This window comes from Homo sapiens, chromosome 3 (genome assembly GCF_000001405.40).
Source record: "Homo sapiens chromosome 3, GRCh38.p14 Primary Assembly".
Classification (NCBI taxonomy): Eukaryota; Metazoa; Chordata; class Mammalia; order Primates; family Hominidae; genus Homo; species Homo sapiens.
Window position 1 is genome coordinate 174,583,139 of NC_000003.12, and position 23,181 is coordinate 174,606,319.

The 23,181-nt window shown below is 36.6% G+C and overlaps 1 protein-coding gene across 11 annotated transcripts in view, besides 1 other annotated feature; it reads left to right on the forward strand.

Annotated features, from left to right (window-relative positions):
* NAALADL2 (N-acetylated alpha-linked acidic dipeptidase like 2) overlaps positions 1-23,181 on the forward strand; it is a 1,369,567-nt gene that overhangs the window by 142,157 nt on the left and 1,204,229 nt on the right. The window lies entirely within an intron of this gene.
* Positions 22,323-22,823: an enhancer, noted in NCBI's record as "H3K4me1 hESC enhancer chr3:174323251-174323751 (GRCh37/hg19 assembly coordinates)". NCBI's record gives its function as "activates a minimal SCP1, AML or CMV promoter by ChIP-STARR-seq in naive H9 embryonic stem cells {active_cell/tissue: H9 hESC(naive)}" and the evidence as "EXISTENCE:reporter gene assay evidence [ECO:0000049][PMID:30033119]".

The window sequence follows — 23,181 nt, forward strand, 5'->3', positions numbered from 1 at the left end:
AATGCAAAATGATGGCAAAGTCCAGTGTAAATCTATAATATGGTAAGTGCTGCCAATTATACTATTTCATTCTGAATCATATATAACCTATCAAACTGTACCTGTCTGCACTTTTAAACATGCTGCTCCCTGAATAATTTTTTTCCATTAAGTTCTTTAAATTTTGAATAATCACTAAAGTACCATGCCATTTTTAGTTTATGGTATATGTAGTCTTAAAGATTCTGGAAGGCCATACAGACTTGGAAGAAGGAAGCAAGATATTTTAGTTAACCCAAAAAGTAACATGGGATGGTTCAATCTGGCTTATTTATTACACATACAGTGACAGTGTCAAATTTGCTATTGTGGAATTGTATGAATATAGAACCTATCCAAGGTTAAGCATTTACAGTAAGTGTTTTATTACAGCAAACACTGAACAGTACTCCTTAGGGTCAATTCTACAGGCATTTAATTTCAGCAATTGCCATAATAGAGGCATTATGATAATGTCTCAGTCTCTTGGGTACACAAGAGGTTCAATGCTATTACGTTGTTTCTTTTCCTCTCCTTTAAAGCTTTTGTCTATAATGCATACACTGATTGGAAAAGCAAGAATTTATATCCCTCTTTATTTGAATGTTTGGAATTTCATTTCAAAGGTTGAAATGAACATAGTCTGAGAGAAAAAACAGTGGGATATTACAAAAAGCGGAATAATTTTCCATATGTTTTAGATCTTTAGACACAAGGGACTCATCACAAGAACCACATGTACTTTTTCTGAGTCCCACCTTCAAAATTAATGAACAGCAAAATGTTTTATATTTCCCATAGGAAAGCTTCAACTCAGTTATTCTGTCACACCATTTTGTTCATTGATTTGTTATCATTATCTAAAAAGGGCATATTTTAATAAAGTGATAGTCCTTTATCTGATAAATTAATAGGCACAATTACTGTCAGCTGGATGCTAACAGGCTAAGATATAAAGTATAATTCATAAGAGAAACCTGAGAAAGACTGAGAAAGAATGACTGGTAAAGGGGTTGAAGAATCAGGCATGTGTGGGTTCATAGATGGAAGAATATGTTCAAGAAGGAGGTAATCAGAGAAATTTTACTTTATCCAGAAAACGTATGTCGAAGTGAAACAAAAGCAAGTAATCAGATACACATAAACGTATAAGGTCACTGGGTGTAGGGTGTAGAGCAAATACTAGCAGATGCAGTGCATGTTTTAAAGATTAAGTATGTGTACACTTCAACCTTCTACAAGTGAAATCCCAGAAAATTATTTTCAAATTTAGTTTTTAGTACATCAGATTTATTTTTCTTTTTATCATGTATATGTTAAAGATTTGGTATGTGTGCTTCAACTTTCTACACATAGACGAACAAAAAATTATTTTCAAATGTTGCTTTTATGTGAAAATTTATTTTTCTTTTTATCAGTATTGATTCAAAAAATTATGGTCAGATTCCCTAGGTCTAACTTTTAAGTACAAATCTCCATAATGCATGATAGCTAATTATCCTGGGGAAGGATATCATAAATTTTTATTTAGTACCATCTCAAGTATTTAATCCGGTTTGCTACTGTGAGTTTTGCTGGTCCTTTGTGAATTTTTACTAAATCCTGGATTCTGTTGTGTATAAATTGAAGCTCTATTATTTATCAAGCCAATATGATTTCCCTTAGAACACAGTTCCAGTTTGATCAATGAGACTGATTATTCACTGCGAATGCACTCTCTTGATCAACTTCACAATCTTCCTTTATCAGATTTTGGTTTTGCACTTATCGTTTTACCCTCATGCTCTTTTATAAATCTAATATTTCAGTCAGACATGATAATGTATATTTAGTAACTCATTCTTAATATTCATGTATATTTTCCCATTTTAAATGAAAGCACAAAGCTCTTTTTATCTGTATATATAAGAATAACACATATTCTGAAATTGGCTGTTACTCAGTTGCAGTTACCAATACTGTGACTCTGACCCCTGAAATATTACAAGTAAGGTCAGAGCTGTACTGTAATAGACATACTGCAGAAACTCTCAGCGTAGGATATGCATCATAATCATTTGTGGAGTTTTGAAAAAAATCCAGTAGCCAAGGTTGAGAACCACTGCATTGGGCTGTATTGTAGGAGTACCGTCTGAGCTCACTGTATCATAGAAATCTCCTAAAATATTGATTCTAATCTTCTGCTAGTGAAAGGCAGGGCTGAAGCATAAAACCTTTGTGTTAACCTTAAAGAAAAAAAATAGTTATCAGTAACATGACTTCACATGGACGAGAGCAAGAGAACAATGTTGATGGATTAGAACAGTATTTTTCTTCTACCCTGTAAGATATCAAGGTTCAGAAGAACTCATTGCCTAAATTCATTTTCAATTTGAATACATCCAAAGATGTGGAGCTGTGAAATATCAGAATTTCTACCCTGGATCTGTGCTAGTAGTTCTCAGTCATAAGCTTCATAGCGTTCTTGTCTCCAGCTCATTGTGGAATCAAAAGATAGTTTTTTTTGTTTTTTTTTTACTTAAAGAATGACACATTAATTCACATTTATTGTAGAAAAAGGAGAAAAAATTGATAAGCAAAAGCAATATTAATAATAACGATCTGATAACCAGAAACAACCACACTGTCTTCATGTTGAATAGTCTTCCAGACAAGTGCATTTTCTGGTTAAGAGCACAGACTCTGGAGATATATTGCCTACTTTTAAATGTTGGCCTTGCTAGTGATGAACTCCATAACTTTGGGCAAGTTATTTACCTGCCCTATGCTTCTATTTTCTGGTCTGTACAATGGGACTAATAATACTATATTCTGCATAGGACTGTTATAAGCATTAAATGCATTAATATATGAAAAGTTTCTAGAATAGTGGCTTGTACATAGCAAGCTCTTTACAGGTATTAGCAAAATTATTATATGTGTAAACAAATATACGGTTAACAAATACTGGATAAAATCACTTCAGGCAACTTATTACTGAAAATTTCAACGGATATTTGTTCATCTATGGACCAAGCAATCATTTATTTAGCACTGTTTGTGTGCTAGGCACCATACATTTAAATTAACTTCTTTAGAGATGGTATTCAGTTGTACAGGTTGTAATGCATTTTATTTAGCCTCCCTAGTGGTATACATTATTTTTTTTATTTTTAAAAATACGATAAATAAGGCCACAATGAATATTCTTACAGGTAATTATGTGTGCACATTCATTACAAATTTCTAGAAGTTTCCAGGTCAAAGGTGTTGTGCTGGACTCCTGCTAACTTCAGTATGGATGGCACCGGGTTCAACAGACTGACGAAGAGACCCAGAACCAGCGACGAGACCACAGGGTTTACTAAGAACTTACATACAGTGGTCCAGTGGCAGTTGGCTGGATAGCAGAACTGCTGATGCCTTCAGGAAACATGTAATTTATGTAGCACTTTCACTTAACATCCTCCCGCATCAGCCTCCACTTGGCAACCTTCATTTAACCCGAACATTCTGTGGGTTGGGCCAGGGGCTCACATGTTCCTCATAGATAAGGAATGAATCTCTGAGTTGGCCATACTTGAAACTCTGAACACGTATTCAGATGTTTCTGCCATATAGGGTCATTTCTCAAGGTATGCTTATGTTATTGCTGTGAGCTGCATCTACTATATAAAAAGGTATGCAACTTTCAGAGATTTTTTTTTTATTATTATACTTTAAGTTATAGGGTACATGTGCACAACATGCAGGTTTGTTACATATGTATACATGAGCCATGTTGGTGTGCTGCACCCGTTAACTCTTCATTTACATTAGGTATATCTCCTAATGCTATCCCTTGCCCCTCCCCCCACCCCACGACAGGCCCTGGTGTGTGATGTACTCCACCCCGTGTCCAAGTGTTCTCATTGTTCACTTCTCACCTATGAGTGAGGACATGCGGAGTTTGGTTTTCTGTCCTTGCCATAGTTTGCTGAGAATGATGGTTTCCAGCTTCATCCATGTCCCTACAAAGGACATGAACTTATCCTTTTTTATGGCTGCATAGTATTCCATGGTGAATATGTGCCACATTTTCTTAATCCAGTCTATCATTGATGGACATTTGGGTTGGTTCCAAGTCTTTGCTATTGTGAATAGTGCTGCAATAAACATACATGTGCACACTGATGGGTCTCGACTCTTTATCCAGTTTTCCAGTCTGTGTCTTTTAATTGGAGCATTTAGCCCATTTACATTTAAGGTTAATATTGTTATGTGTGAATTTGATCCTGTCATTATGATATTAGCTGTTTATTTTGCTCATTAGTTGATGCAGTTTCTTCCTAGCATCAATGGTCTTTACAATTTGGCATGTTTTTGCAGTGGCTGGTACCTGTTGTTCCTTTCCATGTTTAGTGCTTCCTTCAGGAGCTCTCATAAGGCCTGTCTGGTGGTGACAAAATCTCTCAGCATTTGCTTCTCTGTAAAGGATTTTATTTCTCCTTCACTTATGAAGCTTAGTTTGGCTGGATATGAAATTCTGGATTGAAAATTCTTTTCTTTAAGAATGTTGAGTATTGGCCCCCACTCTCTTCTGGCTTGTAGAGTTTCTGCCGAGAGATCCACTGTTAGACAAATGGGCTTCCCTTTGTGGGTAACCTGTCCTTTTTTTCTGGCTGCCCTTAACATTTTTTCCTTCATTTCAACTCTGGTGAATCTGACAATTATGTGTCTTGGAGTTGCTCTTCTTGAGGAGTATCTTTGTGGCGTTCTCTGTATTTCCTGAATTTGAATGTTGGCCTGCCTTCCTAGGTTGGGGAAGTTCTCCTGGATAATATCCTGAGTTTTCCAACTTGGTTCAATTCCCCCTGTCACTTTCAGGTACACCAATCAGATGTAGATTTGTTCTTTTCACATAGTCCCATATTTCTTGGAGGCTTTGTTTGTTTCTTTTTACTCTTTTTTCTGTAAACTTCTCTTCTCACTTCATTTCATTCATTTGATCTTCAAACACTCATACCCTTTCTTTTACTTGATCGTATCAGATACTGAAGCTTATGCATGCGTCACGTAGTTCTCGTGCCATGGTTTTCAGCTCCATCAGGTCATTAAGGTGTTCTCTATGCTGTTTATTCTAGTTAGCCATTCCTCTAATTTTTTCAAGGTTTTTAGCTTCTTTGTGATGGGTTCGAACATCCTCCTTTAGCTCGGAGAAGTTTGTTATTACCGATCGTCTGAAGCCTTTTTCTCTCAACTCATCAAAGTCATTTTCCATCCAGCTTTGTTCCGTTGCTGGTGAGGAGCTGCGTTCCTTTGGAGGAGAAGAGGCGCTCTGATTTTTAGAATTTTCAGCTTTTCTGCTCTGGTTTTTCCCCATCTTCATTGTTTTATCTACCTTTGGTCTTTGATGATGGTGACATACAGATGGGGTTTTGGTGTGGATGTCCTTTCTGTTTGTTAGTTTTCCTTCTAACTGTCAGGACCCTCAGCTGCAGGTCTGTGGGAGTTTGCTGGAGGTCCACTCCAGACCCTGTTTGCCTGGGTATCAGCAGCAGAGGCTGCAGAACAGCAAATATTGCAGAATGGCAAATGTTGCTTCCTGATCCTTCCTCTGGAAGCTTCGTCTCAGAGGGGCACCTGGCCATATGAAGTGTCAATCGGCCCCTACTGGGGGGTGCCTCCCAGTTAGGCTACTCAGGGGTCAGGGACCCACTTGAGGAGGCAGTCTGTCTGTTCTCAGATCTCAAACTCCATGCTATGAGGACCACTACTCTCTTCAAGACTGCCAGACAGGGATGTTTAATTCTGCAGAAGTTTCTGCTGCCTTTTTTTCAGCTATGCCCTGCCCCCAGAGGTGGAGTCTACAGAGGCAGGCAGGCCTCCTTGAGCTGCGGTGGGTTCCATCCAGTTCCAGCTTCCCAGCCACTTTGTTTACCTACTTAAGCCTCAGCAATGGCGGACACCCCTCCCCCAGCCTCGCTGCCACCTTGCAGTTCGATCTCAGACTACTGTGCTAGCAGCGAGCGAGGCTCCTTGGGCGTGGGACCCTCTGAGCCAGGTGCGGGATATAATCTCCTAGTGTGCTGTTTGCTAAGACTGTTGGAAAAGTGCAGTATTAGGGTGGGAGTGTCCCAATTTTCCAGGTACCATCTGTCACGGCTTCCCTTGGCTAGGAAAGGGAATTCCCCGACCCCTTGTGCTTCCCGGCTGAGGCGATGCCCTGCCTTGCTTCAGCTCACGCTCTGTGGGCTGCACCCACTGTCTGACAAGCCCCAGTGAGACCAACCCGGTACCTCAGTTGGAAATGCAGAAATCACCCATCTTCTGCGTCGCTTATGCTGGGAGCTGTAGACTGGAGCTGTTCCTATTCGGCCATCTTAGAACCAAGTCTGAGTTTCTGTTTGTTTACTGGCAAATTACCATTCATTGAGACTGTGCCATTTATGGTCACACCAACAGTGAATGAGAATGGAAGGCAAAGATCTTGAGCAAATTTAGTTGACTGAAACATTAGTAATTTCAGAATAACTTGAAGATTTTATACCAAGCTGTAGTATTCATTAGGTAGGGAGAGCCAATAAACAGCTGTCAATCAAAACACTTTTGAAAATTTTTGATTACTAAGTTATATTAACTTTTGGTAAACTTTCAGGAAGTGGAATACTAGAATATTAAATACTCAAGCCCATGATGTTTTTTAAACCCTTATTAGTAATAGGGTTGTTGTTGTTGCTGTGTTTTTTTTTTTTGAAAAAAGTCATATATATATTTGAAAATGCCATAAATAAAACATCCTGTTATTTCTTTCATTTAAAGGTGTGTTCTTTATATCTTTACATATTAATTATCAAGGGCCAAAACTTCTTGTTTTAGGTCCATGCTAGATTTTCCCACTGTACCTGAGAGGGTAGCATTAAGGAGGAAAAGCAGAATTCTTTTTTTAGAAATGAGGCTTATTTTCTAAAGTTTCCCACTGATTATAAGACTTATCTCACCCTTTTTCTCTTTTTCGTGGTCCTTCTCAATTGATCAGTCAGAACCATAGATTTTTTTTTTCTGTACAGTTATATGCAAAGTTTTATAAGGATATCTTGGTAATCAGCTCAACTAGATCCTTCTTGTCCCATCCTAAACATGAAAAAACTATGCAGTTAATTCTTTATTTGAACCATATAGAAGTACATAGCTATAACTCTGCCTTTTATCCTGGTATTTAAAATAATGTAGTATTTAGCATCTATGCAATACATAATATTTTAAAAGATACTGTATAAGGCTTGCATGGATTTTTTTTGACTTAGAGTAAAATTATGAATCCAAGTATAAATATAAATAATCTAAATGTTTTAAAAGCTATCTTGAAAAGATAATTAAATTTTATTTTTTACTGATAGATTTTGTCCCTCTTATTATATTAAATTTTAAAGTATAAGAGTGGCCTTATTGAATGTCAACAAAACACTATCCACAGTTTCATAAGTGAATAGAGCAGTGAGTATAGTCCTTTCAGTAGTAAAACATTAAGCTCTTAAGTTCTTGGTGCAGATTTTAACTCCACTATTTTCTTGCACAAGCCATATAACTTATCTAAACCTCAATGTCTTAATCAGTAAAACAGGCACAGTAACAGTACTAATCTCATAGTTCTTTAGTTTGTTGTTGTTGTTGGTATGAGGATTAATTGAGATAATGCATGGAAACTTTTGTTACTATTTGACTAGAAATAGACATTCAATAAATACTAGCTATTTCGGTGAAATGAAAGGAAAAAAAAAAACTTAAAGAGAGGCTTCCATTAGTATCACATGTTTCCTTTCTCCACAGTTGCTGCTGATACTGAATCCAGAGAGGTGAACAGATTTCCCCTTCCTAATAATACAACCACAGCAACAGCAGCTGTGACTGAGGAGAAACCAGAACTAACATCTCTTCAAGAGGGGACCCCCTGATTCAACAGGCATTATTCATTATCTGAAGGCTGGGAAGGAGACTGATAGACTAAGAACCTTGGCTGATCCTCTGGAGACAGACTGCTCCTTAATCTTGAGATGGACAAATCTCCATAAGCCTTCCAATGGTCTTCTGACAATACGGCCTTGAATTATATTCTTTTCTAACCTGGCCTTCCATATGTATTTTTCTAGGCCCCTAAGGAGGAGAAGGGCAAATAGGGAATTATGTTTGGATTGGCTGGACAAATAGAAAAGAACGGTGCATGTTAGATAAAATCACAGTAGACTACAAAAATATTTCTGAATTCATCATTCTACAGTAATGTGTTAGTATGAGCATTCAATATAACCATCTGCTATGGCATAATGAGTTCAGAGGGCATCTCTATTGATGCGGGTAAAGGAAAACTTGTCATTTGAAGTTGGTAGCACGCCTGATGGATGGAGCATGAAATGAAAACTTCCCATCATCTTTCTTATAAGGGAAGCTGATGCTTGCTTGGATTAGTTAAAATGGACCTAAACAGAAATACAAAGTTCACCTTGCACACTTAAAGGCCATTGCAGAAATTTTTGATACTATCTAAAGACTTGCCATAATAAAATACATGTTGTGCCTTTTCTCTCTTAGAGAAATTTCAGTCTTTTTATAGTTGTGAATTTCCGATTCTAAAGTTAGAATGAAATTATAGTATACAAGGCACAGACATCTATAAAGAGTATCTCTCTTTTGTTTTTGTTTATTTAGTTGGTTTGTTGGTTTATGAGTTTTGCTGTTTTGGATTTTTGTTTATTTTTATAGTTTCATTAGTAAGGTTTTTGTTTGTTTGTTTGCCATAATACCCTATCTGACATAGGTCTGTGTATTTTTCACCAATTTTCAAGATTTTTATTTTCTTGGCAGAAATGACTTATAAACTTTTATTGTTGCTTTAATAACAGGCTTAAGAAGTGTCATACGTGTGTGAGTTTTTTTTAAATGACATTTCAGCATGAAATAGGTATAATAGAACAATTCCCAAGGTAAACTGACTGATTGAGAGATGTTATTCAGTAATTTATTGTGAAGAAAGATGGCCTAGTATTTTATGTCATACAGGCTGATGGAACTATAATTTTGGAATGGAGTATTTCTTTTTATTTATTTATTTATTTTTGAAACAATTTTTCTTTTTTTATTTTGTTATTATTATACTTTAAGTTTTAGGGTGCATGTGCACAATGTGCAGGTTAGTTACATATGTATCTAAACATGTGTATGTCTCAAAAACAGCCATGCTGGTGTGCTGCACCCATTAACTCATCATTTAGCATTAGGTATATCTCAAAGATGAGATAGTAGGCTTTAGTTTTAGGCCATCCTGAAGGAGCAATACCTGAGAAAGTAATTAGAATCAGTAGTTAGGTAAGGATTGGGACCTGTGCTCAGGAATGATCTACATAATTTGGATATTATAGGACTTTCCCTTAGAATCTTTTTCATCTTTAGATGATCAATTAGATATTTAAAGTAAATACATTTACTTGATCCCATCTAGAGACAATGTTTAAAATTACAACATATGAAGAAATCGTTTTAGAACTGCAAAGTTGTTGTCTAATTTGGCTCCTCACTAGCAGAAATATTTACTTCAGATAAATTCTTGTTTCCATTATTAATCTGTGTAACAATGCCCCTACAACAATTTCCTTAAGCCCTGATAACTAAATCTAATCCCCCACATAGGATCTATTATGACCTAGACCTACTTTTTTTTTTGCAAGGATAAATTGTTTAGCAACAGATTTGAATTTAATGTGTTGAAGTTTGACTTTATTTGCTATACAAGGTATGTGTGTGTGTGAGAGAGAGGGAGAAGAGAAAGAAAGAGGAAGAAAGGAAGAGGTAGAGAGAGAGTGAGAAAGAGACAGAGGTTTTCAGCTTTCCTAGCTATCACTTTTCCTAAATCCAACTAACCAATCAGATAATGAGCATGGAGACTATTCAGACTCACTGTAATCGAGGTTTTCAAATTTTCTTGTAGGACAATCAGAATTGTCAAATATATTCTTTACATCTTGGATGGTAGCTAATTATAATACAGAGAAATTTCCATATTAACCTTCCTAATGAATTAGTTTAACTCTAAATTGCTAAATAAGTTATTCTTACTATCAGCATAAACTGTGTAACTCAAATATGGTATAGATTCAGGGACAGAGTTGAAATGTATAACAGAGTAACTATTAGCGAATATTTTCTTGTGGTTAGTACATGTCAGACACCGTTGCAAGTGTTTTATGAGTTTTAGTTAATTCAGTGTTCACTTTTGAGGAAGGCACTGCTATTCATATCTTTACTTGGAAGGTGGGGAAATTGAGGCACAAAGAGGTTTTTGTATATTTGCCTAAGATCTCACAGCTGTTAAATGACATGGCTGGAATTCAAAGTCAGTATGGTTTCAGAACCTACTCTCTTAACAAGTGTGGCTACATTGCTTTCCTAAAAACAAGGGAGAAAGCTGATTTTTATATAGTAAGTAATGCTTCTTATTTAGAGATGTAAGTTAAAATGACCACATACTTTACTCTCAGATGGTTAATTATAACACTCAAATTCTGGTATCAGAAATCCTTGTATATAGCCTATTTTGGAGTAGTTCATTTTCTCATTCATGGACTTTTATGACCATGAACTAATTTTATCTCCTCACCTGACACTTACTTTTCTGGTTTGATGGAGGGTAGATGTCCAATTTTTGTAAGACACTAATCATATGCAGCATGTTAGCACCCTGAAGAGTAATGATGGGTAAGCAGTAATTGAGACTAACACTGATGCTTAATGAAAATTGCTACCAGATGCTGGCAGAGTTCTGTGAGCCCTAGCATGTTAAGTGGTCATTGCTATTGTGGTTTATTAAATAGTTTACTGAGTTTTTGATTTTCCTGTGACATTTACATGGTTCCAGAATACAGATGTCTAAATTCAATGGTTCACTTGTTTTAGATTGCAAATAGCTAATAATATTGAGGAATTTTTTTTCTTTAGTCAGCTGCGGTTACTTAACCAGGAAAAACTCCTTATACAAGTTTACTTTCATGAATAATACTTGGGCATAATAATTGCCAATATACTTTGGCATAATAATATGCCAAATTTGTTTCCTAAAACTTTAATCCATGACAGGATGCAAAAGCAAACTGGTGAAGTGGTTGGAACATGGTACCACCCAGTTTAAATCCTGTCTTCATAGCTCAATGTGTTTTCATGCCGATTTCTTAACTCCCTCCAAGCCTTATTTACCTCAACTGTCAAATAGAAATTATTTTATGACATCGTTGGGAAGATTTGCAAGGCCTGATACCTCTAATCAAAGAATAATGCTTAGAATAATCTCTAAGCAATTTCTTTCTGACATTTTTAATAGGCTGTTCTTCTTCCTCATACTTTACATATGTCATAAAGACTACAACATATAGTACTATCCAGTGCCCAATTTTCCTCAATTGAGTTGCGGCTCTGAGTGCTCTTATGCTACTGACCCAGACTAGCTAACCAAAGAATGGCCTGGAGGGACTGTGATATAGCATCGTATTTTTCAGATCTGGCTGCTAGTAAGAATCACATAATAGGTCATATAGACTTCCAAGTCCTTTCCTTGGAGGTTCTGATTTAGCTGGCCTAGAGTGGGGCATAGAAATATATGTTTTAACCAGAGATCCAGATGATTTCAATGATAAGGGGAAATGTAGAAATAAGTTTTAGAGTTGATATATCTGAGTTGAAATCCTAGTGCCACTTATCAACAGCTATGCGTTGATGTAGCTTTTTGTGTCCTAGTTTGTAGGTGGTTAACACAGATGTTAGTTCCTTTTCTTATATTTTTGCTGATGGAGTCCAGAGTAAGTAAACTTTAAGTGGCCAATTCCTTTCTTCATTACTTGATCATGTCTTAGTACTTTCTAGATGTATGCTGGTAATATTTAACAACTCTCCAGAATAGCAAGCCCTATTTTTGCTTATTTCTGCGGCATAAAAACACTCATCATGGCCATTTTCTAGCTACCCATATTCAGTCACTAAATGCACAGTTGAGAAGAGATGTACACATTCAGGTCTCATGAGCTGGAGGGTGCCACTCCTTCCAGCCACACCTCACATCCATCAGTTTTCTCTTTCTCCTCTCCCTCTGCCCGCTTCTTGTCTCTTTTTTCCTCTCTGTCCCCTCTATTTCTCTCCCTTTCTCTCTGTCTTATTTGTAGGGCTACTTTCTAGAGAAAGTAGAATAAGTTATATCATTTCTTCATTAATTGTTCTGTAAAATGTTTACTGAATCTCTACTGTGTCAGATATCAGAAATGCATAATAGCTTTTTACAGTTCAGTCTGTATGCTTTGTATTTGGCCAGATAAGTTACACGGAAGGAAAATCATGCAACTTGAGGGGAGAAAAGGCTATCCTGGAAATTAGTGGTTTACACTTTCAGTTGAACTCCCACCACTTCCTATCAATCCTTTTCTTCAGCTCATCTTTCTGCATGCTCTCCCTTTTCTTTTGAAAAGAGGTTACTGGTTATCCCCTTTCTTTCCACTATAAATTGGCAGCTTCTCCCTCTGTTGCTTTGGCCTAATACATGGCCAAGTCTCTCCTATCTTAAGAAAACAACAAAAACAGGCTGGGTGCGGTGGCTCATGCCTGTAATCCCAGCACTTTGGGAGGCCGAGGCGGGCAGATCACCTGAGCTTGGGAGTTCGAGACCAGCCTGACCAACATGCAGAAACCCCGTTTCTACTAAAAATACAAAAAATTAGCTGGGTGTGGTGGCGCATGCCTGTAATCCCAGCTACTTGGGAGGCTGAGGCAGGAGAATTGCTTGAACCTGGGAGGTGGAGGTTGTGGTGAGCTGAGATCATGCCATTGCACTCCAGCCTGGGCACAAGAGCCAAATTCCATCTCAAAAACAAACAAACAAACAAACAAACAAAAATAACAAAACACAAACAAAACAACAAAAACAATATTAATAACAAAACTGCCATGACTCTCTATAAAATCACTATAAGGTCACTATAAAATCTTATTCCTTTACACTTAGAATTCTGGAAAGAGTAGCTTGCTCTTTGTTTTTACTTTTAACCCTTTACCATTTTCCTTCTGCCCTACTACTTTAGTGAAATTGCTTATGGTAAAGCCAACGTGCCAAATGCAATGAGCACAACAAATTCCTTAACTTACTGGGCCTCTCTACTACCATTGATGCTGCTAATCCATAACTCCTTGATTATCTTCTCTCACCCAATTTTATATATATTATTGACCTGCTTCTCTTTAGGTTTCTGACTATATTTCTAGTCTCTGACTTATTCACTGTTTTGTTTTTACACGCTATTTCAGTGGTTCTCAAATTTTAGCTGTATCAGAACCACTTGGAGGGTTTGTTGAATCAGATTACTGAGCCCAGATTTTCTGATTCTGTAGGTCTTGGGTAGAGAATGAAAATTTACTTTTCTAACAAGTTTCCAAGTGATCCTTCTAGTCTCAGAACTGCACCTCAAGAATATGCTGCTCTAACTTCTTGAGTTCCTCTTTTACTTCCTGTCCTTAACTGGTAGCTTGGTCTGTAATTTAACTCTTCTTGCTAAGTACATTGTTTCTAAATGAATACATTTCTTTTCATGGTTTTGATGGCTTATACCATCTGACACTAAAAATGTTTATCTCTTGTGACGTCATGGCCAATTTAGATTAGGATATCCAACTATATGCTAGACATCTTTTATTAATGTCCCAAAGGAATGCCTTGCCCATGGCCAGTCAGTGATGGAGGTGAAATTTGAATCCTGACTGTTTGACTTGAATGCGCCTGATTTTAACCATTAACTTCTATTGGGCTCTCATCCTTTTTATGATTTCTCTAGTTCAGACCTTCTTTGTCTCTGGGAAGATGAAGCTTTCTGTTTTGGAGGCATCCAACACTATCCCAAGTTCAGTGTTTCTCTAGCAGGATTCACAGGACTCTACATAGTGGTGTTTTATTTATGGCCATAATTTACTATAGTGAAAGGATACAAAACAAAATCAATGTATGCAAAAGGTGCATTGGGCAGAGTCTGGAAGAAACCAAGTGTAAGAGTCTACTCTGAGTGGATTCATACAGCACATGCTTAATTCTTTCAGCAATGAGTTGTAACAACAGGAGTCTAGTAGGGAAGCTCGTTAGAGATTTTGCCCAGGGTTGTCATTGTAGGATGATCACATAGGTACCCATTGCCTAACACATAGCAACATTTTAGTCTCCCAGAAGGAAAGCAGGTGTTCAACGTAAACTATATCGTTTGCATACACAGTTCAGGCATAGTAAACTATTTTTATCAGGGAATGCTTGGAACTCTCCTGAAATCTATGTTCCTAGACGTCAGCAAAGGGCCAACCTTGCAAGCAGGACTTTTGTAAGGATAGCAATCTCAGGCCTTTTATGTTAACCATTTTCTGTACCTTCTAGTGAGCCTTTCCATATACAATATTTTCCTTTCGCATTTTCATCTCCATATTGCAGCTGAATGAGGTATTTAAAATGCAAATCTGGTCTTACCCATCCTTGGCTTCAAACCCTTTGCAGTGCATCTTTCCTAGTTCTTGATAAATGGAATAAAAAGGGTTCATTGGGAGAAGTCTTTGGGAGCATAATTTGTATTGCAATTAATGTGCTGAATTTTTAATGTGAGCTATTCACCCACTTATTTTAACCTTAGGACTCAGAGGAGTTTCCTACTGAATGCTGTAGTTGAGAATCCCTCTTTTCACCACAGCTCATATATCAGACACATTTGATCTTTCCTGACTTTGAACTGACTCAACAATTTAAGTTTTCTTTTCATAGCACTTATCACTTTCTCTCTTGTATTGTAGATTTTTTCTGTACATGTCTCACCTCTATATTATAAGTTCTTTGAGTTATAATCTCTCTCTTTATTCCTCAAATTAATCTCCAGTAATTCAGTATTTGCCAGTTAGCTTTCAATAACCATGTTGAAGAACTGAATAAACTTGACTAAAAATGAAAAATAATGATCTGTATTTCATTCTGAAAAAGTTACTTACCTAGTTTTCTTAGTAGCCATTGGTAAACATCATTTAAAATAAAGATCCTAATAAACTAAAGGAAACCTGATAGGAATTCAAGTGGAAATTAATTATGAGCCCTTATTTTTAAAAGGTCTGGTCATAAACTTTGAGTTAGTGTGACTAGAATTAAGTGTATTTGTTTTTACTCTGCATCAATTTTTAATTACTTAGAGCCTTTTATATTCATTTTCTCCCTCTAAAACCACATTTCAGTGGAAATTGTCACTTAATTAGGTCTGTGCTAAATGATATACACAGAACTTATTTTTAAGATTAAGTGAAAATGGTAGATTTCTCCTCAGCCAAAGAAACCGTGTTATTTCTTGGTATCAGACACTTATTATTAATTAATTAGTTCTCCGAAGTGGTATGCTGGTGTATTTTTAAATCGGTTAAGCAAAGACATACTCCCAGTGTCCTGATAAGGAGAATTATGAAAATTTATAATTAGTTCATGATAAACAGCTTTTAGTGTCTATCAGGTCTCCTGTAGTAACTTAGTAAAATTAAGGGCTTTTAGATTTGGACAGCAAAAGTTAACCAAAGAGAAGTCGACTCAGACATTACTATAGAAAAAAAGTACATAGATACTTTAGCAAATGGATATACTTAGGAAGATATACTTAGCCATCATATGTTGCTATCATTTTTGAAATGCTAAGAGTGCAATATTTAACTTTCATATCTATTATGTGTTGAAAAGTCTTTTGTGGATATACCATTGTCATACGTCTGTGGCAGCCATAAGCATGTTGTCTCTCTGTGGCTACAATATGCAGATGTATGGTAACAGCTCCATGTAACATTTTAATGGTGCCTTTTCTAGTCTACTGTGACAAGTAATTCTACTCAGCTTGTCAGCGATGACAGCTGAGACTTTTTGCTTAGATGCCTTGACAGTGCTTGTATTAAACAGCCAGAGCCATACACTCCATTAAGTTTCCGTAAAATGAACTGCCTGCTTCTTGCTGTTTTGCTGATAGTGGCAGCAGTTGTAAGCTAATCCTCTCCAGTTGTGGATTGCTCGACTGAGTGCTTTCACTCATCAACAGGTAGTAGATCTCATAGGTTTAGTAGAGTGGCTATAAGGTTGATAGCTATGATAGGCAGACATAATTTATCTCAACACATTTTTAAAATGGCTATTTACTCTAAATAGGCTGCAAATCTGTCCCTAACTAGGAGAAAACTGACCTTCTAGATGGTGAATTGATGGTTCTTCCCTAACACATAATTATTCATAGGCTCTTGGTACAAAAGACATAAATATGGGAAGGGTGTGTCTCAGAATAACTATGTCTACTTGTAAGTGTGTGTGTGCACCAGTAAAAGCTACATGTTCCCTAATATGTCAAAGTACATTTAAGAGGAAATAAATCAGTATCCTTCAATGTCTTAAGCAAAGCTAGATCATTAGAAATACTGATACCTGATTATTTTCAAATATGTGGGGAAATATAAATTTTACTTTTTTTCTCTTTTAAATAGATGATGATCCATTTAGGCTGTTTCTTATGCCATTTATGCATTGTATTAAACTCTTGTGTTTATTCTTCTCCTTCCCCTGCCGTAAAACAGAACTATGTATGATAATTCTTCTCTAGGTGTTACAAAGACTGCTTTCGTCAACAAATCCCTGGTATTTGACCTGAAAAACAATGAAAGCCTTAGTGCTCAATTTTTAGGCAGTTTTTATATTCTATCTGGCATCACTGGGCATTATCAATAGTGGAGTAAGTCTTTGAAGAAGACAAATAAGGAAAGAAATGTTTACAAGGTTGAGCATTAGACTTGATAGAAATTTTAAGAATTCAGTGCTAGCTTCAAGTAACTTAGATAGGAATAGCATTATTTATAATATTCTATGTAGTTTACAGTATTCTTTATAGTATTCTATTTTTTTCAAAAAAAACTAATCCTTTATAATATATGATAATCCCTTACAGTGTCTCCTTGGATTTTTATGCCTCCCCACACTTTAGTGAAACAAGAAAGTTTCAGTGTGGTTTCTGAATACAATTTTTGCAGATAAAACCGATAATATAGATTTGGAAATTAAGTTGTGCTCAGAGCTTTTCAACCTTTAGCACGGGGATTAAGTACATTGTTGGTAGTATATGAGGAATTCTTTTTTTTAATCTTAAAACAATTTTATTTAGAGAGTTCAAGAATAGTTGGTCAAATACAGTTGGCCAAATTACTGTTTACAATATACCTTCAGTGACATATGTATTTCAATATATGGCTATATGGTTTTCAGATATATATATTGATTCTCGAATTCCCTAACTTCTCTAAAGTCTTGGATTATAATTTAAAATTTAAGATTTGTCTTTGAAGAGTCAAATATAATTCTTATTTAAAATTTTTAATTTTTGTGAGTACACGGTAAGTGCATTAGTCTGTTCTTGCACTGCTATAAAGAAATACCTGAGACTGGGTAATTTATAAAGGAAAGAAGTTTAATTGGCTCATGGTTCCACAGGCTGTACAGGAACTATGGCTGGGGAGTCCTCAATAAATTTTAAGTCATGACAGATAAGAAAGCAGGCATGTCTTACATGGCTGGAGCAGGAGGAAGAGAGAGTGATGGGGGAGGCACCAAACAATTTTAAACAACCAGATCTCCTGATAACTCTATTATGAGAATAGCACCAAAAGGGGAAATCTGCTCCCATGATCCAGTCACCTCCCACCAGGCCCCATCTCCAACACTGGATTACAATTCGACATGAGATTTGAGCAAGGACATGAATTCAAACTATATCAGTAGGTATATTTATTTATGGGTTACATGACATATTTTGATACAGGCATGCAATGCATAATAATCACATCAGGGTAATTATGGTATACATCACTTCGAGGATCTATTCTTTGTGTTTCAAACAATCCAATTATACTCTTTCAGTTATTTCATAGAAGTACAGATATCTCTTCAATATACTGATTTTCTTTCTTTTGAGTATATACCTAGGAGTGAGATTTCTGGATCATATGGTAGCTCTATTTTTAGTTTTTTGAGAAACCTCCAAACTGTTCTCCATAGCAGTTGTACAAATTTACATTCACACCAACAGTTGTGCGAGGGTTTCCTTTTTCTCCACATCCTCACCAGCATTTGTTACTGCCTGTCTTTTGGATAAAAGCCATTTTAACTGGGGTGAGATGCTATCTCATTGTAGTTTTTATTTGCATTTCTCTGATGATTAGTGATGTTGAGCACCTCTTCATATACCTGTTTGCCATTTGTATGTCTTCTTTTGAAAAGTATCTATTCAGATCTTTTGCCCATTTTAAAATCAGATTATTAGATTTTTTTGCTATAGATTTGTTTTCAGCTTCTTATATATTCCAGTTATAAATCCCTTCTCAGATGGGTAGTTTGCAAATATTTTCTCCCATTCTGTGGGTTGTCTGTTCACTTTGTTGATTGTATCCTTTGCTATGCAGAAGCTTTTTAACTTGATGTGATCCCATTTGTCCATTTTGGCTTTGGTTTCCTGTGCCTGTGGGGTATTTCTTAAGAAGGTTTTGTCCACTCCCATGTCCTGGAGAGTTTCTCCAATGTTTTGTTGTAGTAGTTTCTTAGATTGAAGTCTTAGATTTAAGTCTTTAATCCACTTTGATTTGATTTTTGTATATGGCAAGAGACATGGGTCTAGTTTCGTTCTTCTGCATATGGATATCTAGGTTTTCTAACACCATTTGTTTAAGATAATGTCCTTTTCCCAGTATGTGTTCTCAGAAACTTCGTTGAAAATGAGTTCACTGTAGATGTGTGGATTTATTTCTGGGTTCTGTATTCTGTTCCACTGGTCTACGTGTCTGTTTTTATACCAGTACCCTGGCATTTTGGTTACTACAGTTCTGTAGTATAATTTGAAGTCAGGTAACTGAGCATAGCTTTGGCTATTCTGAGTATTTTGTGGTTTCATATAAATTTAAGGATTGTTTTATTTTTCTATTTCCATGCAGAATTTCCCTGGTATTTTGAAAGGGGTTGCATTAAATCTGTAGATTACTTTGGGTAGTATGCACATTTTAACAATATTGATTCTTCCAATCCATGAACATGGAATATCTTCCGGTGTTTTTGTGTCCTCTTCAATTTCTTTCATCAGTTTTTATAGTAGAGAACTTTCTTTCTTTGGTTAACTTAATTCCTAGGTATTTAATTTTATTCATACCTACTGTAAATGAGATTACTTTCTTGGCTTCTTTTTCAGATTGTTGACTGTTGGCATATAGAAATGCTACTGACTTTTGTATGTTGATTTTATATTCTTCAACTTTACTGAATTTGTTTATCAATTGTAATAGTTTTCTTGTGGAGTCTGTAGGTTTTTCCAAATATAGGATAATATAATTTGAAAATTATATTTCAAATATAATTTGACTGATTTTGTTTTCCAATTTGGATGCCCTTTATTTCTTTGTCTTTGTCTTCTCAGATTGCTCTAGCTAGGACTTCTAGTACAATGTTGAATTACTGTGATGATGGTGATCATCCTTGTTGTATTCCAGATCTTAAAAAAGACTTTCATATTTCCCTCATTTAGTATGATATTAGCTGTGGGTTTGTTATACATTGCTTTTCTTATGTTGAAGTGTGTTCCTTCTATACCCAATTCATTAAGGATTTTTATTATGAAGTGATGTTGAAATTTATCAAATGATTTTTCTGTATCAATTGAAATGATCATATGGTTTTTATTCTTCATTCTGTTGATGTAATGTATCACCCTGATTGATTTGTGTATGTTGAACCATCATTACATTCCTGCGATAATCCCACTTGGTAATGATGAATTTGTTAAATTCAGTTTGCTAGTATTTTGTTGAGAATTTTTGCATCAATATTCATCAGTGATATTGGCCTGTAGTTTTATATTTTTTTATTTGTCTTGGTCTTGTTTTGATATCAGGATAATGTGGGCCTCATATAATGAGTTTGGAAGAATTTTCTTTTCCTGTATTTCTTGAATAGTTTGAATAGGATTGGTATTAGTTCTTCTTTATGTTTGGTAAAATTTAGCAGTGAAGCAATTGGGTCCCAAGTTTTTCTTTGCTGAGAGACTTTTTATTACAGCTTTGATCTTATTACTTGTTGTTGGACTGTTTCAGGTTTTGGATTTCTTCATGGTTTCATCTTGGTAGGTTGTATGTGTCTAAATTTGTCCATTTTCTGTATATTTTTCAATTTATTTGCATGTAATTGTTCATAATTTCCACTAATGATTCTTTGAATTTCTGTGATATCAGTTGTAATATCTCTTTTTTCATCTCTGATTTTATGTATTTGGGCCTTCTCTCTTTTTTTCTTAGTCTGGCTATAAGTTTATCAATTTTGTTTAACTTTTCACAAAACCAACTTTTAATTTCATTTATCTTTTATGTATTTTTTCCAATTTTATTAATTTTTTTCTTCTACTAATTTTGGGTTTGGTTTGTTCTTGCTTTTCTAGTTCTTTAAGATGCATTGTTAGGTTGTTTATTTGAAGTTTTTTTCTTATTCTATGTAGGCACTTATAGCTATAAACAGCCCTCTTAGTACTGATTTTGCTGTATTCCATAGGTTTTTGTGTATTGTATTTCCATTATCATTTGTTTCAAGAATTTTTTAAAAATTTTTTCTCTACTGGCCATTCAGGAGTGTATTATTTAATTTCCATGTATTTGCATTGTTTCTAAAATTCCTTTTGTTATTCATTTCTACTTTTATTCCATTGTGGTCAAAGAAGATGCATGATATTATTTCAGATTTTATGAGTGTTTTAACATTGTTTTGTGACCTTACATATGGTCTATCCTTGAGGATGGTCCAAGTGCTGTGGAAAAGAGTGTCTATCCTACAGCCATGCGATAAAATGTTCTATAAATATATATTAGGTTTATTTGGTCTATAGTGCAATTTATATCCAATATTTTTGTTGTCGTTGATGTTCTATCTGGAAGATCAGTGCTGAAAGTGAGATGTGCTGATAGTGGGATGTTGGGGTCTCTAACTATTATTGTATTTCTCTTTAGCTCTAATAATATTTACTTTATATATCTAGGTGATTCAGTGTTGAGTGCATATATGTTTAAAATTGTTATATCATCTTGCTGAATTGACCCCTTTATCATTATATAGTGACCTTCTTTGTCTCTTTTAGTCTTTGTCTTGAAATCTATTTTTTCTGATTTAAGTATAGTTACTCCTGCTGTTTTTTCATTTCCATTGGAATGGAATATCTTTTTCCATCCCTCTATTTTCAGTCTATATGTGTCCTCATAGGTGAAGTGTATTTCTTGTAGGTAATAGATCACTGAGTCCTGTTTTTTGTTTTGCTTTCCATTCAGCTACTTCTGTCTTTTGGTTGAAGAGTTTAGCCATTTACATTCAATGTTATTGTTGATAAGCAAGGGCTTATTCCTGTCATTTTGTTATTCATTTTCTGTTGTGTGTGTGTGTGTGTATGTGGTGTTCTCTTCTTTCCTTTCTTCCTTTCTTCCTTTCATTAAAGGTAATTTTCTCTGGTGATGTAATCTAGTTTTTATTTTTTGTGTCTCCACTGTATGTTTTGTTCTTTTCTTTTCTTTCTTTCTTTTCTTTTTTTTTTTGAGATGGAATCTCACTCTGTTGCCCAGGCTGGAGTGCAGTGGCATGATCTTGGCTCACCACAACCTCCATCTCCCAGGTTCAAGTGATTCTCTTGCCTCTGTCTCCCTAGTAGCTGGGATTACAGGCACGCACCACCACCCCGGCTGATTTTGATGGGGTTTCACAATATTGTCCAGGCTGATCTTGAACTCCTGACCTCAGGTGATCCACCCACCTCAGCCTCCCAAAGTACTGGGATTACAGGTGTGAACCACCATGACTGGCTCATTGTATGTTTTTTGGTTTCAGTTTACCACGTAGCTTGCAAATACCATCTTATAACCCATTATTTAAAGCTGATTACAACATAACACTGTTTGCATAAACAAACAAGTAAAAGTAAAACTAGGGGGTCGAGCCAAGATGGCCGAATAGGAACAGCTCTGGTCTACAGCTCCCAGCGTGAGCAACGCAGAAGACGGGTGATTTCTGCATTTCCATCTGAGGTACCGGGTTCATCTCACTAGGAAGTGCCAGACAGTGGGCGCGCAGGACAGTGGGTGCAGCGCACCGTGCGCAAGCCGAAGCAGGACGAGGCATTGCCTCACTCGGGAAGCACAAGGGGTCAGGGAGTTCCCTTTCCTAGTCAAAGAAAGGGGTGACAGACGGCACCTGGAAAATCGGGTCACTCCCACCCGAATACTGCACTTTTCCGATGGGCTTAAAAAACGGTGCACCAGGAGATTATATCCTGCACCTGGCTCGGAGGGTCCTACGCCCACGGAGTCTCTGATTGCTAGCACAGCAGTCTGAGATCAAACTGCAAGGTGGCAGTGAGGCTGGGGGAGGGGCGCCCACCATTGCCCAGGCTTGCTTAGGTAAACACAGCAGCCAGGAAGCTCGAACTGGGTGGAGCCCACCACAGCTCAAGGAGGCCTGCCTGCCTCTGTAGGCTCCACCTCTGGGGGCAGGGCACAGACAAAAAAAAAAGGACAGCAGTAACCTCTGCAGACTTAAATGTCCCTGTTTGACAGCTTTGAAGAGAGCAATGGTTCTCCCAGCATGCAGCTGGAGATCTGAGAACGGGCAGACTGCCTCCTCAAGTGGGTCCCTGACCCCTGATCCCCGAGCAGCCTAACTGGGAGGCACCCCCCAGTAGGGGCAGACTGACACCTCACATGGCCGGATACTCCTCTGAGACAAAACTTCCAGAGGAACGATCAGACAGCAGCATTTGCGGTTCATGAAAATCTGCTGTTCTGCAGCCACCGCTGCTGATACCCAGGCAAACAGGGTCTGGAGTGGACCTCTAGCAAACTCCAACAGACCTGCAGCTGAGGGTCCTCTCTGTTAGAAGGAAAACTAACAAACAGAAAGGACATCCACACCAAAAACCCATCTGTACATCACTATCATCAAAGACCGAAAGTAGATAAAACCACAAAGATGGGGAAAAAACAGAGCAGAAAAACTGGAAACTTTAAAAAGCAGAGCGCCTCTCCTCCTGCAAAGGAACGCAGTTCCTCACCAGCAATGGAACAAAGCTGGACGGA